The following is a 14,263-nucleotide window of genomic DNA, read 5'->3' as shown; positions in this document are numbered from 1 at the left end:
ATGTCCCCAGCTTCAGCAACCATCACCCTGATCAGTTAGCAGCAGTTGATGTTGAAGCAAGACCCTTCAATGGCAAAAAGTTACAATTCGCTGAAGGCTCACAAGATAGTTACTATTTTTTAGCAATAATGTATTTTTAATTGCTGTATACCTTTTAAAAAAGATATAATGCCATTGCACATTTATAGTGTAAAAAACTTTTATGTGTATAGTGTATAAAACTTTTAGTTTTATACTAGTGTAAAAAACTTTTATGCGCACCGGGATACAAAGAAACTTGTCTGACTTGATTTATTGAGAGGTACACTTTATTGTGGTGGTATGGTAATGGAAACCACAGTATCTCCAAGGCACATCTATAGACATATACATATGGTAGATTTTATTTATATGTTAGAGAGCCCATATTTTATCTTCTATGGAACATGTTACACTAAAAGAAATCAGTGATCAGGTAAATGGCCAATTTAGTCTTGGAGCTGGAAAATGGCTCATTTGTAGGCCAAGAAATACAAGCCATTTAATGACAGTAAGTTCAAAATCAGATGCTATTTATACAAAAATACCAATTTCTCACAGCTGAAGAAACTACTCTTTCAACTAACAAGATCTGTTGATTACTTAGTACACACAACAAACAACAAAAAAATCAAAGTAAAACTACCATTCCAAGGCACTTCATCATTAGATTTCAGAACTAAAGAGTTAAAAACAAAGCTTCTAGACAGAAAGTTAAGACACAACAGGTTCAGTCCTCCCAGCAGCCAATATTGCCATGAAACTGCAGATGTTCTACTTTCAGCTCTATGTTCAACCAACTCCAAGTAAAAAAATAGAAAAAAACAAAACAACCAAATAATAAACTACTGCATGTGGGAGAGTTTAGGTGCATTCAGAAAAGTAATGTCTTAACAAAAAAATCTTGTTTTCCATGTATCGATTTTTAGGAGGGTGTGCTTCGGCAAAATGAAGATTAACTCAAGAAAGATGCAAGACCAAGGAGCACCAGAAGACCACCAAAGGAAAGGCTGTATACAGAAGTCCCAGAATGATAGCTGTGTCAAAGAGAACAAAGCACAAGGCAGCAGGAAGATGAAATGCTCCAAGAAAACATGATATAACAGATCTGACCACATGAACAATTGTTGTAGGAAATTACTGGAAGGAGTATGAGAAAATTTAGTAATTAACACCAAGAAAACCAAGCAAATGATAAAGGCAATATTAAAATCTAGTATAATCATGTGTGAGTAACTTAGGAGATTGTAGTATTTTCACATTGTGTTAAAAATGTGAACAATGCATATAGATTTAAACAAAAACTGTGACATGACCAGAGAGTAAGGATGCGGTAACGCATAAGAAATACATTTTCACAAGTCAATACTTAATGTCTAAAACCTGACACACAAAAATAGCATGGGCATAGTGCTTAGAAAAAAAGTGGTATATCCAGTAATGAAAGGTAAACCTTGAGGGTGAGTTTTCTTTGATAGATGGATGAGGTAGGAGACTGTTGTTCATCACTGGGAGCCTTGAAAGAACCCTGACTTTCTGAAGTATTAGTTTTCTAGAAGTATTTCATGAAAATTACATGCTCCTAAATATTTTCCCATCCATGAAAATATTTTCATCAGCAACACTATGAAAGACACATGTTCAACATTAGAGACTATTCCACAAAGTATATTAGATTTGCAAACAGAATTTGTTAATATTTTCTTTTTCATCCATCATGTAGTTATGAGCATCCTTTCTGTGGAATAGGGGGATGGACCATTTTCTTACCTGGTGGCATAAGTTTCATAAGTACTCTTGCTCCATCTCTAAGAGGTGGCATATTCAGGTTGCTACCTAAGTCTGCAACTTGCCAAAGGAAAGAGATGTATCTGGGATGCACTGACATTATCTAGAATACAGAATATACAAAATATTTACCTGCAAATTGTGCTACAAAAAGTTTTTTGTTAATGAAAATTTATCCACTCTCTATCCTTCAAATAAGGTTTCTATTGGTCAATCACATTTCTGGATATACCATTTATACCACCCCAAATGACTATTTTTACATTGATAAATCCATTGATTCAACATGCAAATTTATACATTACATATTAAGCTTTCTAATATACTTTGAGTAATTTCATTGCAACAGTTTTTCGATTTTTTTGTAAACTGTAGTTTCACATAGTACTCAGATGCTGATTATACAAAAGGCACCTCACTCCCTCAGGAATTAAATTCCTAATCCAATTTTTTCAGAGACTTAAACCTCCCTAATGCTGAAGTGACTGGTATAATTGTAGGCATAATTTTTAAGAGGCTGAGGGAAAGGCTAAGAAAGGTAGAAGCTGTTGTTCCTTTACATATGAGATGTATTTCTAAGAATCATAGAAAATAATACATCCTATTTTTCTTTAAAACTATCCTAAAAGACTGAAAATATAGTAGTACCTTCTAGAGCTATATATTTAATACCATACGTAAGCTATAACAGATTAATTCTACCTACATAATTTTATTATAAATTCCTACAACTAAGAAATTCACTCAGAAGTTAACAGTTGACTATACCGTTGACATTTTGACCCATTTATGAATCTCTATAAATCTATGAAGCTCCTCAGAAAAAGAACTATTCTACACATTTCTTCATATTTTGAATAGAGAATTACTCACCACCCCAGGCAAACAACTTTCCACCTCTAGATTGGGACCATCATTGTAATGATTACGGTGGTTTCCAGGAGATGCAGTTGAGGAATCGGAAGAGCTATCAGGACTTGATGGCATATTGAAATTTATTTGTGTAAGTTTGGCTGTAATTAGCTGAAAATAACAGTGTGTTTATTAGCAAAGACAAGGCAAAACATTTCTACAAGTAATGGGAACTAGATACATTGAAAGGTTAAAATACACCTTAGGCTTTAATTTTAGAAATACATTTAAAAATTACTGTCTAACATAACCATTTAATTGTATTTCCTTTAAGTTCTGTGACATCTATCTTATTCAAGGTGATTATAATCTAGATACCAACACAGAAGTTTGTACATAATAGTTAGATGCCCAACAGACATTTACTAAATAATACGTTAATAATAAATGTTGAGGCTTACTAATATAGCCTCAACATTTAAGTTTCATGACTTATTTAAAAGCTGTATTTACTTACAGATTTATCTTTTAAGTTTAATTGTCCAATTAGCTTTCTGTCATCTTCAGAATCTATCAGCTCACCACCCACAAAAAGTTCAATTTTTTTGTGGGCTACATTGGCTTTAATACGATTAACAATACATCGCCGTACTGAACCAATTGTGTCATTCGTATGAGACCATATATCCAACTCATCAACCTGTCTGCCCTGGTTTGGAAACCGAACTATAAGAGAGAGGTGTTTGCCACGAAATGCTCTGAAAAATAAATAAGTAAATAAAAAGAATTTTAAAAAAAGAAAAAACCACAATGATATTCAGCAGACTGCTAAAAAAAACCCTGAAAATTTAATATTTTATTATTAAGTCAGAGGATGACAGTTAAAACAACTTATTTTGTATTTAGGATCTTTAGAACACCATGCTTCTTTTAAACAGTGAACAAACATCACAATCTTGGAAATGCAATAATCAAATTCTGTTGTTAATCTTATCTCTGTGAAGGCTGAAAAAAAGCTTCCTACTTATGATAGATCACAACAGACATGAATAATGCTTCAGTTATTTTCATGCCACAAAACTCAACTCACTAAGACTATTTTCAAACACGGAATATGAGTTTCGGCTTGAACATATCAACAAAAATGCTAAAATGCACATTTCTGTCAAAATATACCCCAAAATATTTATCTTGGTATAATCTTGCTTACTTTATTCTCTTCTGATAGGTAAGATGCAAAATAAACAGTATTAAAAAGCAATTTTACATTTTTTCAGTTAAGAAAGTGGAATCAGACTTTTAAAAAACGTGATTGTGCTCATTCTGTAAACTTTCCCCAAAACTGTAATTGCCATTAAATTGTTAATAAGTAACTGACTTTAGTTATACTTATATGATTTAGTTATATGATTATTATTCGTATCACATGCTATAGAATTTGGATATAATTTATGATTATATTAATATCTGACTATTAGATCATCTAATTATTTTATGGTAATTAGTTTTTAAATTTAAAGGAATTTTAGCAAACACCATTTAAAAATATTCCTTCTCATACTGGCTTAATAAGCAGTTCTTAATTTTATTTTTAAGAACGTTCAAATAAAAAAACCATCAAATGCAAAATAACTCTATCACACTTAAGGAATGATAACAACTTGGAAAAATAAAAGAGACACTGTTAACTAAGGAGTGAAATACCTTACCAAAATATAAATCAAAATAAAAATGTACCCTATCAAAAAGCATCTTTTTTAAAAAAGATATAGCTGTTTTTAAAGGTGAGAATATTGGAATTCAGAAATAAGAATATCCCCCACTTTCCTTTTAACCTATTATTACTTTCCTAAGTAAATTTCTAAGAAAATATTAAGTAATTGTAAATTAACACTAGAGATCAACTTCACACAAACCTCGACATAGGTAGAATCATTCTTTCCTTGTGATAATCACTGTCACATTCATTAATGTACTCTTTTATAACAGTTAATACTCTAACCATTCGAATGGCTTCTTGTCTTGCACAATTAATGCTGTTTTTGTCACCATCAAAAACACACAGTGTATCATATGATGCTTTTAAACGATCAAAGCAAGACTGAATGAAGTCTTCATGGATAACCACCTATAAATAATGGACAAATACAGATAATCCAGGTTGTTTACAAATGAAATGTGACATCAATCTAATAAAAAGCAGTAAAATGTCAATTTAAAGGTAACTCAATCATAGTCATATTTACCCAGTAGTAAAACACAAGTTTCCTGAAAAGGAAACTGATTACGTGAAACTAGCAAGTATAAACCAATTTTGTTTTTAAAAAGTGAATGTTGGCCAGGTGTGGTGGCTCACGCCTGTAATCCCAGCTCTTTGGGAGGCCGAGGCAGGTGGATCACCTGAGGTCAGGTGTTCAAGATCAGCCTCACCAACATGGTGAAACCGTCTCTACTAAAAAAATACAAAATTAGCCAGGTGTTGTGGCAGGCGCCTGTAATCCCAGCTACTCGGAAAGCTGAGGCAGGAGAATTGCTTGAACCTGGGAGGCGGAGGTTCAGACAGCCAAGATCCCGCCATTGAACTCTAACCTGGGCAAGAAGAGTGAAACTCCATCTCAAAAAAAAAAAAAAAAAGTGAATGTCCAGTCGGGCACATGTGGCTCATGCCTGTAAACCCAGCACTTTGGGAGGCTGAAGAGGGACGATAGCATGAGCCCAGGAGTTAGACACTAGCTCTGGCAACATAGTGAGGTCTCATCTCTAACAAGAAGAATGAAAAAAAAAATTAGCTGGTGCGGTGGTGTGCGCCTATAATCAGAGGCAGGGAGATAGCTTGAGCCTGGGAGTTCCAGGCTGTAGCTGAGTTGTGGCTGCACCACTGCATTCCAGCCTGGGTGACAGACAGGAATCTCAAAAAGACAAAAAAAAACAAATGCCTAGACAAAAGGCCAATCTAAGACAAAGTTCTGGCCATCTCAACGTACGATAATGAATAATTACATTTAAAATTATTTCAATCACCTAAGGATAATTATCAAAGAAACATTTCTTTAGTCAGCATTGGGCAAGGGAGAAAAGTGGATTAAACACTGAAAAAATATTTTTGACAAGAGTTAAAGATTATTTTCTAGTTATTTTCAGGTTAAAAAAGATACTACCCAACAACTTAACCCAATTGTTGTGGATCTTTTTAAGCACTTCAATTCTCACCTGATTGGCTTTTAATCTTGGGCCAAGGTTTGTGTATATCTCTTTAAGAAGATCTATAGCTCTGTTAGCAATCTCGTCACTACTCTGAATCACAACCTGGTTCCAAAAATATTACAGTATTAAAACCATTCAAGATACAGTTTAATTTGGTATTTAAATTTAAATCATATCCTTAATTATTTTTAATATAATCTTCAATAACTTAAAGATAAGTTGATTGATACTTAATATACAATAAGGGATCTTAAGAATTCAAAGATTAATAAAAAATACAAGTTTTCTGAACAAAGCCGTTTGCTTAAGAATGAAAGACACAAATACTTCAAGTGATAATATTTAACTTGTCAACTTGTTAGTCAAGCTGATAGGTTTTCAAGGGTTAATTCAAGTATGCTAAAAAAAAAAAGGTGCGAGAAATACTATTTAACATAGAGCTGTCCTGCTGGCCCCAGCAATTTTTGTAAATCTTTACCAATCATTTAATAAATCAGTGTTTTTCAAACTAAGTTTAGAATCCTTGCACCTTAGAGTATTTCAGGAATGAAAATTTGGGGAGTTTGAAGACAGAAAGGAAATGAATAATGGGAAACTAAGCAAAGAAATGCAAGCTTTCCTCTCTTACTTCCACTACCTGTATATAGTTTTTTAATTGATAGGAGTTACTACTAGTTAAAATGTTTCAAAAACCACTGGTTTTAATGGAACACCGTAGCAACTTCTCAGTTTACATAAAGTTTGTCCAGAGAATAAGTAAATAATAAAACCCAAATATAAGCTGTGACACAACAGATTAGATATATCAAGATGGCAACAAGATATATTACACTATTAATATGGGAAAGTTAGCTTTATGAGCATGCAACATTTATTCCAGCTATTTAAATATATACAAAGTGAACAATATCAATAAAGGTATTGATTCATAATGATATCCTAGTAATAGTCTTCTGTCCATCGTTCATGTCAGCATCAAATACATATAAACTTCAAGATCTATCTTATATAAAAAAGAGAGAATAACTTTCACAAAGGAGGGGAGAATAGAAGATGTAGTCAGCATGTAGAGGGTTACTATAATTCTTTTTTTTTTTTTTTTTTTTTGAGACGGAGTCTCGCTCTGTCCTCAGGCTGGAGTACAGTGGCGCAATCTCAACTCACTGCAAGCTCTGCCTCCCAGGTTCACATCATTCTCCTGGCCTCAGCCTCTCAAGTAGCTGGGACTAAAGGAACCTACCACCACGCCCGGATAATTTTGTTTTTGTATGTTTAGCAGAGACGGGGTTTCACCGTGTTAGCCAGGATGGTCTCCGTCTCCTGACCTTGTGATCTGCCTGCCTCGGCCTCCCAAAGTGCTGGGATTACAGGCATGAGACACCGCACCCAGCCTACTATAATTCTATACATCTGAAAAGGGTGACAGATTCTAAGTTAGTACAACAGGGTGAGAGAAAAAACCAGTAATGAATAAAATATAAGAAGGTAAAGAAGAGCAATTATCCTTGCACACCTAGATTTCTAGGACAAGCATCAAAACAGAATATAGCCATGAAATTCTCAGGCAAAATTATGACTCTTGAATTATTTTTAAAAAGTAACCTCAGGTACAATGTTGGCATATGAAAGTTCTTACTACTCACTTACCCTCCAAAGGTAGTCTAGTCCAATTAATTCCAAATCATCCATCATATAGGATCTTCTTTTTGCTATTAGTTTCCTTTCTCGACAATTGACAGCTTTGAAAAATCTTTCAAAGCATTTCATTCCATTTTCAGTTAAAAGGGAAGGATCAAGCTGAAGTACATTACTTTCAAAGAAGTCCTTATTAATATCAGGATCCAAGTCTGGTTCATCCCCCATTAACTTGGAATACCACTTAAAACAGGCTTCACGATCACAAAGATAAACTGCATTTTCTGCTAAGCACTTCCATATTTGTTTTGCCTGAGGAGCACAGAGCCACAGTTGGCCATCCTTCAGTAAAAATCTTGGAGAAACATAAATCAGTAATTAGGGTCAACATAGTTTTTTCCTGCAAAGCAAGTTTTGACAGGCACAACATAATACTTCACCACAATTATATTTTAATTACAGCTTTAAAAATATGAATTCTTTCAAAATAATTTGTTAAACACATATCTGGAATTTAAAATGTGTCAGGTATTCACATTTGTTTAACAAATATATATGAGGCAGCTACAAAATGCCAGCAACTTTGCTGGGTGATGTGCCCTAAGTAAGAAGACTTCTCCTCATTTTCAGCTCTCCTTCTGAAACCCAATACTGATTTAGCTCTCCCTTAAATTATATCATTGCAAAATAAGGTTATTACACTAAATGACTTTCAGAGATAACTAAATATCACCATGAATTTAAAGCGGCTTAAACTGCTTACATTTCTGAAAATATTGCACTCATAACTAGCCATATGAAACAAAAAATCCACCAGTAATTAAAAATTATGTCTATCTCTGTAATCATTAGTGTGTCCTCAGTGATGTCCTCGAGCTTTTTAGTTGTTTCACTATTTATTAGTTCACTACAATAAAACAATGATTAGTCTGCTTTAAGCAGTCTCTTTATTTGGTTGGCTTCCACTTTCTCTTAGCACTCTTCCACCCACTCTGTCTACTATTTCTGTGAATGACAATGAAAGGAAAAATAAGTTTATTTTAATTTGAATAATAACTTCACACTTAGTTAACAAAATGACAGTGGCTTTATTCCAAAAAGAGTGTGGTGTTTTTATTTAATAGCAGAAGGTTTCTTCTTCTGGATCTTTTTTTTTTTTTTTTTTTTTTTTTTCAGACAGACTCTCACTCTGTTGGCCAGTCTGGAGTGTAGTGGCACAATCTTGGCTCACAGCAACCTCTGCCTCCCGGGCTCAAGCAATTCTCCTGCCTCAGCCTCCTGAGTAGCTGGGATTACAGGCGTGTGCCACCACACCCAGCTAATTTTTGTATTTTTAGTAGAGACCCAGTTTCACCATGTTGGCCTGGCTGATCTTGAACTCCTGACCTCAGGTAATCCGCCCACCTCGGCCTCCCAAAGTGCTGGGATTACAGGTGTGAGCCACCACGCCTGGCCTGGATCTTAATTTTAAGTTGTTAATATCTCTGTAAGAGTGCTGAGCATGAAGGGACCACCTAGATTAAATCTACCTAATCTCTCTCATCCTAATTTATAAATGAGCAACAAGAGATCCAGCAAGATGAAACACAGCAGTTTGTAAACTAACGTTTCAGTGTAAATGTCTGAAAATTCACTGGTGTCATAGGGCAGACACTTTTAAAAACTTCTATATGGGTAATCTGGTCTCTATCACATACCAGCTGTGTGATTTCAAAGCACTTTGTTTTCCCCAAATGGAATCCCAATGAGGAGTTAACACCTGCCTCACAAGGCTGTCATGATGAGTAAAGTGATTAGCACAAGGCCAAATATATACAGCCGGCATTAGCTCTTATAGCTTCCCCCTTTGATTAACTGTAGTACTGTAATATGAACTCTGGAAGGTCATCTGATTCTAAACTTTACTAATAGAATGAATAAATTCTAACTAATTTTTCCAACCCAATAAACCTAAGGAACACATTTACCAAAAACAATGGCTCACTTTGGAAGAGATACTCAATATTAAGAGGCAGATTGTTTTTCTATGTGGTTAAAAAAAAGGTACTACAAGTGTCAGAAAACCTGATACTAGAATATTTTGCAAACTGAAATCCTATAATAAAGATGAGATCTATCTGGCAGACCGTAAAATCCTCAATAGTTATGAACTGACTGAATAAAAAAAAAAACAGACTTTATGTCAAATAAATATTGTCCCATAAATTATCTGATTGATCAGCAAACAGAATTACATGCTCTGTAAAAAGAAAACTAATCCCAGAATTAATAGAGAGAAACAATGAATTCAGTAAATTTTATAAAACACTGATAAATAGTTCTGGCAACTTTTCTTAGTATACTTATTCAAATACTTTTCTTGCAATAGTATGGTAAACTGCATTTCTAAGAGATCTCTCAATACTCAAGCTATACATACATAAAAAAATACATGTCATTAAAAGCTATGTATTACTGAGTAAATTCAGTTTGGAACATAGGTTTGGCTTAAAGGACAGACAACTTTACTTATCCCATTTAAAGTAATGTTATTATACATAGTTAGAGGTTGCTTTTGTCTCTATCATTGTTAAAATATTCACAAGCCACTCAGGAGGCTGAAGTGGGAAGATCACCTCCTGGAGAGGTTGAGGCTTCAGTGAGCCTAGATTGCCCCACTGCACTTGAGCCTGAATGACAGAATGAGATCCTGTCTCAAAAAGAAAAAATAAATACAGAATAACCCTGCATTCCTTATCACTGCAGTGCCTTAAAAGAATAGCACTGATGGTTTAAAACAAACCTAAGGAAGTTTAGTCGTTCTTGAACTTCTTGAACATGACTGTATCGACTTCCAAGCCTCACTGTTTGTGGATCATAGTCTTCATGATCTGCAAATAAACCAAAATTATGCATTATACACATGTATATCCACAACATTATTGACTTAGGTAAAAAGAAATTATTAAGTTAATAATCATTCTCATTAACGGAAACTTGTAATTATGGTATGTTTATTTAAACCCTTTACTCCCACAAAAATACAGTCACTTTTTACACAAAGAAAAATATAACTTGCTGAACACGTTATCAAAAATATTTTTTTAGTCTTAATTCCCCCTTCATTCATCACACACACTGGCGCAATTTGTGAGTACAGCCTACGATTTTTTTACCATCATGTTTCCATTTTCCTTCCTTCTTTGTAGGCAAAATATTTCCTTCCTTCTTTGTAGGCAAAGTATTTCAACATTAAAAATATCACTTCTTTATTCACTCAAAAAAATTAAGATGAGAGAAAATGCTGTATTTTATAAAGTTATCATATGAGTATCTCAATCACCAGGGTATGAACTGGCTCAAACAGTCTCAGATACTCTGAAAAACCTACCTTGTCATTATGATTATAAATACTTGTGTTGGAAACCAGGCCTAGCCTATGTCAGAAATCTTTATTTTTTAATATAAAATTGGTAAATGCTTTTTATTTACTTTATTAACATCATCTACTGGGTGAAAATCTCAGTGTTTGTAAAGAATTTTTTTTTTTGAGATGGAGTCTCGCTCTGTTGCCAGGATGGAGTGCAGTGGTGCGATCTTGACTCACTGCAACCTTTGTCTCCCGGATTCAAGTGATTCTCCTGCCTCAGCCTCTCAAGTAGCTGGAGCTACAGGTGCACACCACCATGCCCAGATAATTTTTGTATTTTTAGTAAAGACGGGGTTTCATCATGTTGGCCAGGATGGTCTTGATCTCTTGACCTCATGATCTTCCTGCCTTGGCCTCCCAAAGTGCTGGGATTATAGGCGTGAGATACCATGCCTGACCTGTAAATACATTTTAAACAGCAAAGATTAAGTTCAAAGCTACTGTCCTGGCTAGGCACGGTGGCTCACGCCTGTAATCCTAGCACTTTGCTAGGCAGAGGCAGGCAGATCACAAGGTCAGAAGATCGAGACCATCCTAGCCAACATGGTCTCTACTAAAATATATAACATTAGCCGGGTGTGGTGGCACACGCCTGTAGTCCCAGCTACTCAGGAGGCTGAGGCAGGGAAATCACTTGAACATGGGAGGCAGAGGTTGCAGTGAGCCAAGATTGCTCCACTGCACTCCAGCCTAGGTGATAGAGCAAGATTCCATCTCAAACACACATACACACACACACACACACACACACTTATTCAAAAGGTAACACTCAACTAAAATATGAATTTACTCCAACACAAAAGCCATGCTTTTAAAGAAAAGTGCCCTAAGGTGGCTTATCCCAATACCTAGCAAAATAAAAGTAACAGAAGAAAAGCATTAGAAGAATACGATAAAAACCATATGCCTGAAAATGACTGTTTGCGAGATTAAACAGAAGACAGTTGAAATACATGCCAATACCAAGTGTTGTCAGGAATGAAAGACCTTTATCCCGAAACTTTTAAACATAGTATGGGAGGAAATATGTTGTTTTTCTTCTGCAACAGACACAGGTATTTCTCAGGTATACATCTCTTGGACCTTGTAACGTTCACACTTGGTGCCAAAAAACGTTCTTCAATTAGAAGCAAAATCTTGACTTGCAATAAAGATGGAATAGAATGTTTAGAATGTGCACTATTTAGTGAAGAAAGAAATCTCACATATTTTGACTCGTGGCTTTTTACTTCTATATACAGGAACACCTGCTAACTGTTGTAGAAACGTACAGCTTACTTCCATGAGACTGACAGATTGCACCAAATCTCAGAACCTCAAGTTTTCTTTAAAAATCTGGCACAATAATATAAAAAGACTTTCAGTTGCATATATGTTTTCTTGTTTTTCCGACCACTGATACTGAAACATCTGTTTAAACATCAGACTGGCACTCGAGGTACTTTTTCATCCCCTATACACTTTGAACTAAAAGCTATTTTTTTTTTCTTGAGGGGGAGTGTGTGGCATGGGGTTGGTTTATGTGTATGACTTTACATTTTAATGTAATTTCAAATTTATAGACGAGGTGCAAAAATAATACAATGAACTACTGTTTATCCAGATATATCAACTGTTTAGATGTTGCCTATTTGTTTTTACAGGTATCTCTGTTTATATGTATATGTCATTTTAATGAACCATTTGAAGGTAAGCTGGACACATCACCTAATTTTATTCCTTAAAGTTATGTTTATTTCCCAGTAACAAGTACAGTTGACCCCTGAACAACATGGGCTTGAACTGCACTGGTCTACTCATTAATATATATGGATCTTTTAACATAAATGATGAGTATTGGAAAATTTTTAGAAAATTTGTGACAATTAGAGAAAACAGATGAACAACATAGCTTAGAAATATTGAAAAAAAAAATAAGAAAAGGCCGGGTACAGTGGCTAACGCCTGTAATCCCAGCACTTTGCAAGGCCAAGGCAGACACATCACCTGAGGTTAGGAGTTCAAGACAAGCCTGGTCAACACAGTGAAAGCCCATCTCTATTAAAAATATAAGAATTAGCTGGGCATGGTGGTGGGCACCTAATCCCAGCTACTCACAAGGCTGAGGCAGGAGAACTGCTTGAACCCAGCAGATGAAGGTTGCAGTGAGCTGACATGGTGCCACTGCACTCCAGCTTGGGTGACAGTGAGACTCAGTCTCAAAAAAAAAAAAAAAAATTTAGAAAAAATGAAATGTCATGAATACTTAAAATATGTTTATTTCAGTGAGCTCCAGTGTTGCTGAGTATACTTAAAATGCTGTGTGATTCTAAACTCCTGAGTGAGCAGTTAGTCTCTTCAGTAAATTATGTATCATGGTAAAAAGTAATCTCTTGGCTGGGCATGGTGGCTCATGCCTGTAATCCCATAATCCCAGCACTTTGGGAGGCCAAGAAGGGAGGATCATGAGGTCAGGAGTTTGAGACCAGCCTGACCAACATGGTGAAACCGTGTCTCTACTAAAAATACAAAAATTAGCTGGGCATGGTGCAGCATGCCTGTAATCCCAGATACTCAGAAGGCTGACGCAGGAGAATCACTTGAACCCAGATGGTAGAGGTGGCACTGAGCTGAGATTGTGCCACTGCACTCCAGCCTAAGCGACAGAGTGAGACTCTGTCTCAAAAAAAAAAATCTCTTGCAGTTCTCATGTATTTTTTGTGTTTAGTGCAATAATGGAAACAATGAATGACACCAGAGGACCTAAATGATGTGCTTCCCCCAAAATAGTGAAAATCATGATATCACAAGAAAAAGCTGAATTGTTTGATATGCATTGCAGACTGAGTTCTGCAACCATGACTGCCCACCATTTCACGATAAATGAATTCAGTGTAAGGACGATTGTAAACACACACACACACACACACACACACACACACAGATACACACACTCTTCATGAAGCTGTCATTGCATCTATGACAATAGAAACAAACTTTGCACTTTTGTGAAATATCTTCAATTTTGTATTGAAAATGCAGTTTTTTTGAGTAAGACTGCTATAAAAAAGGCACACTTATAGACTAATCTAACGGGAAAAATCAAAGTCATATGACAACTTAAAGCAAAAGGTGTAGGAGTTCGGTCAGGGTAGTGGGAGAAATTATAAGAAGAAATTATAGGAAAAGATGCAAACCTTCTTGGAAGGCTGGGAGGTTTTGCAAAAGCTTTGAAAGATAATTTGGCTGAAGGCAGCCAAATTCTCTTATCCAGAGCCTGAGAGCAAAAGGTAGATAACAAGGAAGTGTAAAGGAATTGATCTAGGTAAGTTAAGTTTACTTAGGCCTCAGAACCTGGCCTTTAATCATGTGCGTGCA

General features: G+C 35.3%; 1 protein-coding gene across 3 annotated transcripts in view; it reads right to left on the bottom strand.

The window, feature by feature from the left end:
• The window catches only part of USP9Y (ubiquitin specific peptidase 9 Y-linked), a 159,609-nt gene that overhangs the window by 79,405 nt on the left and 65,941 nt on the right, over positions 1–14,263 (bottom strand). For all 3 annotated transcript variants that reach the window (NM_004654.4, XM_047442772.1, XM_047442771.1), the window contains 7 exons: positions 10,280–10,367; positions 7,510–7,852; positions 5,869–5,964; positions 4,575–4,786; positions 3,176–3,416; positions 2,680–2,829; positions 1,789–1,909 (listed from right to left, as the gene is read on the bottom strand). In NM_004654.4, coding sequence (NP_004645.2) covers positions 1,789–1,909; positions 2,680–2,829; positions 3,176–3,416; positions 4,575–4,786; positions 5,869–5,964; positions 7,510–7,852; positions 10,280–10,367 — 1,251 coding nt within the window. The remainder of the gene's footprint in view (positions 1–1,788; positions 1,910–2,679; positions 2,830–3,175; positions 3,417–4,574; positions 4,787–5,868; positions 5,965–7,509; positions 7,853–10,279; positions 10,368–14,263) is intronic.

This window comes from Homo sapiens, chromosome Y (assembly GCF_000001405.40).
Source record: "Homo sapiens chromosome Y, GRCh38.p14 Primary Assembly".
Taxonomy (NCBI): domain Eukaryota; kingdom Metazoa; phylum Chordata; class Mammalia; order Primates; family Hominidae; genus Homo; species Homo sapiens.
This window is presented reverse-complemented; position numbering and strand designations above follow the sequence as displayed.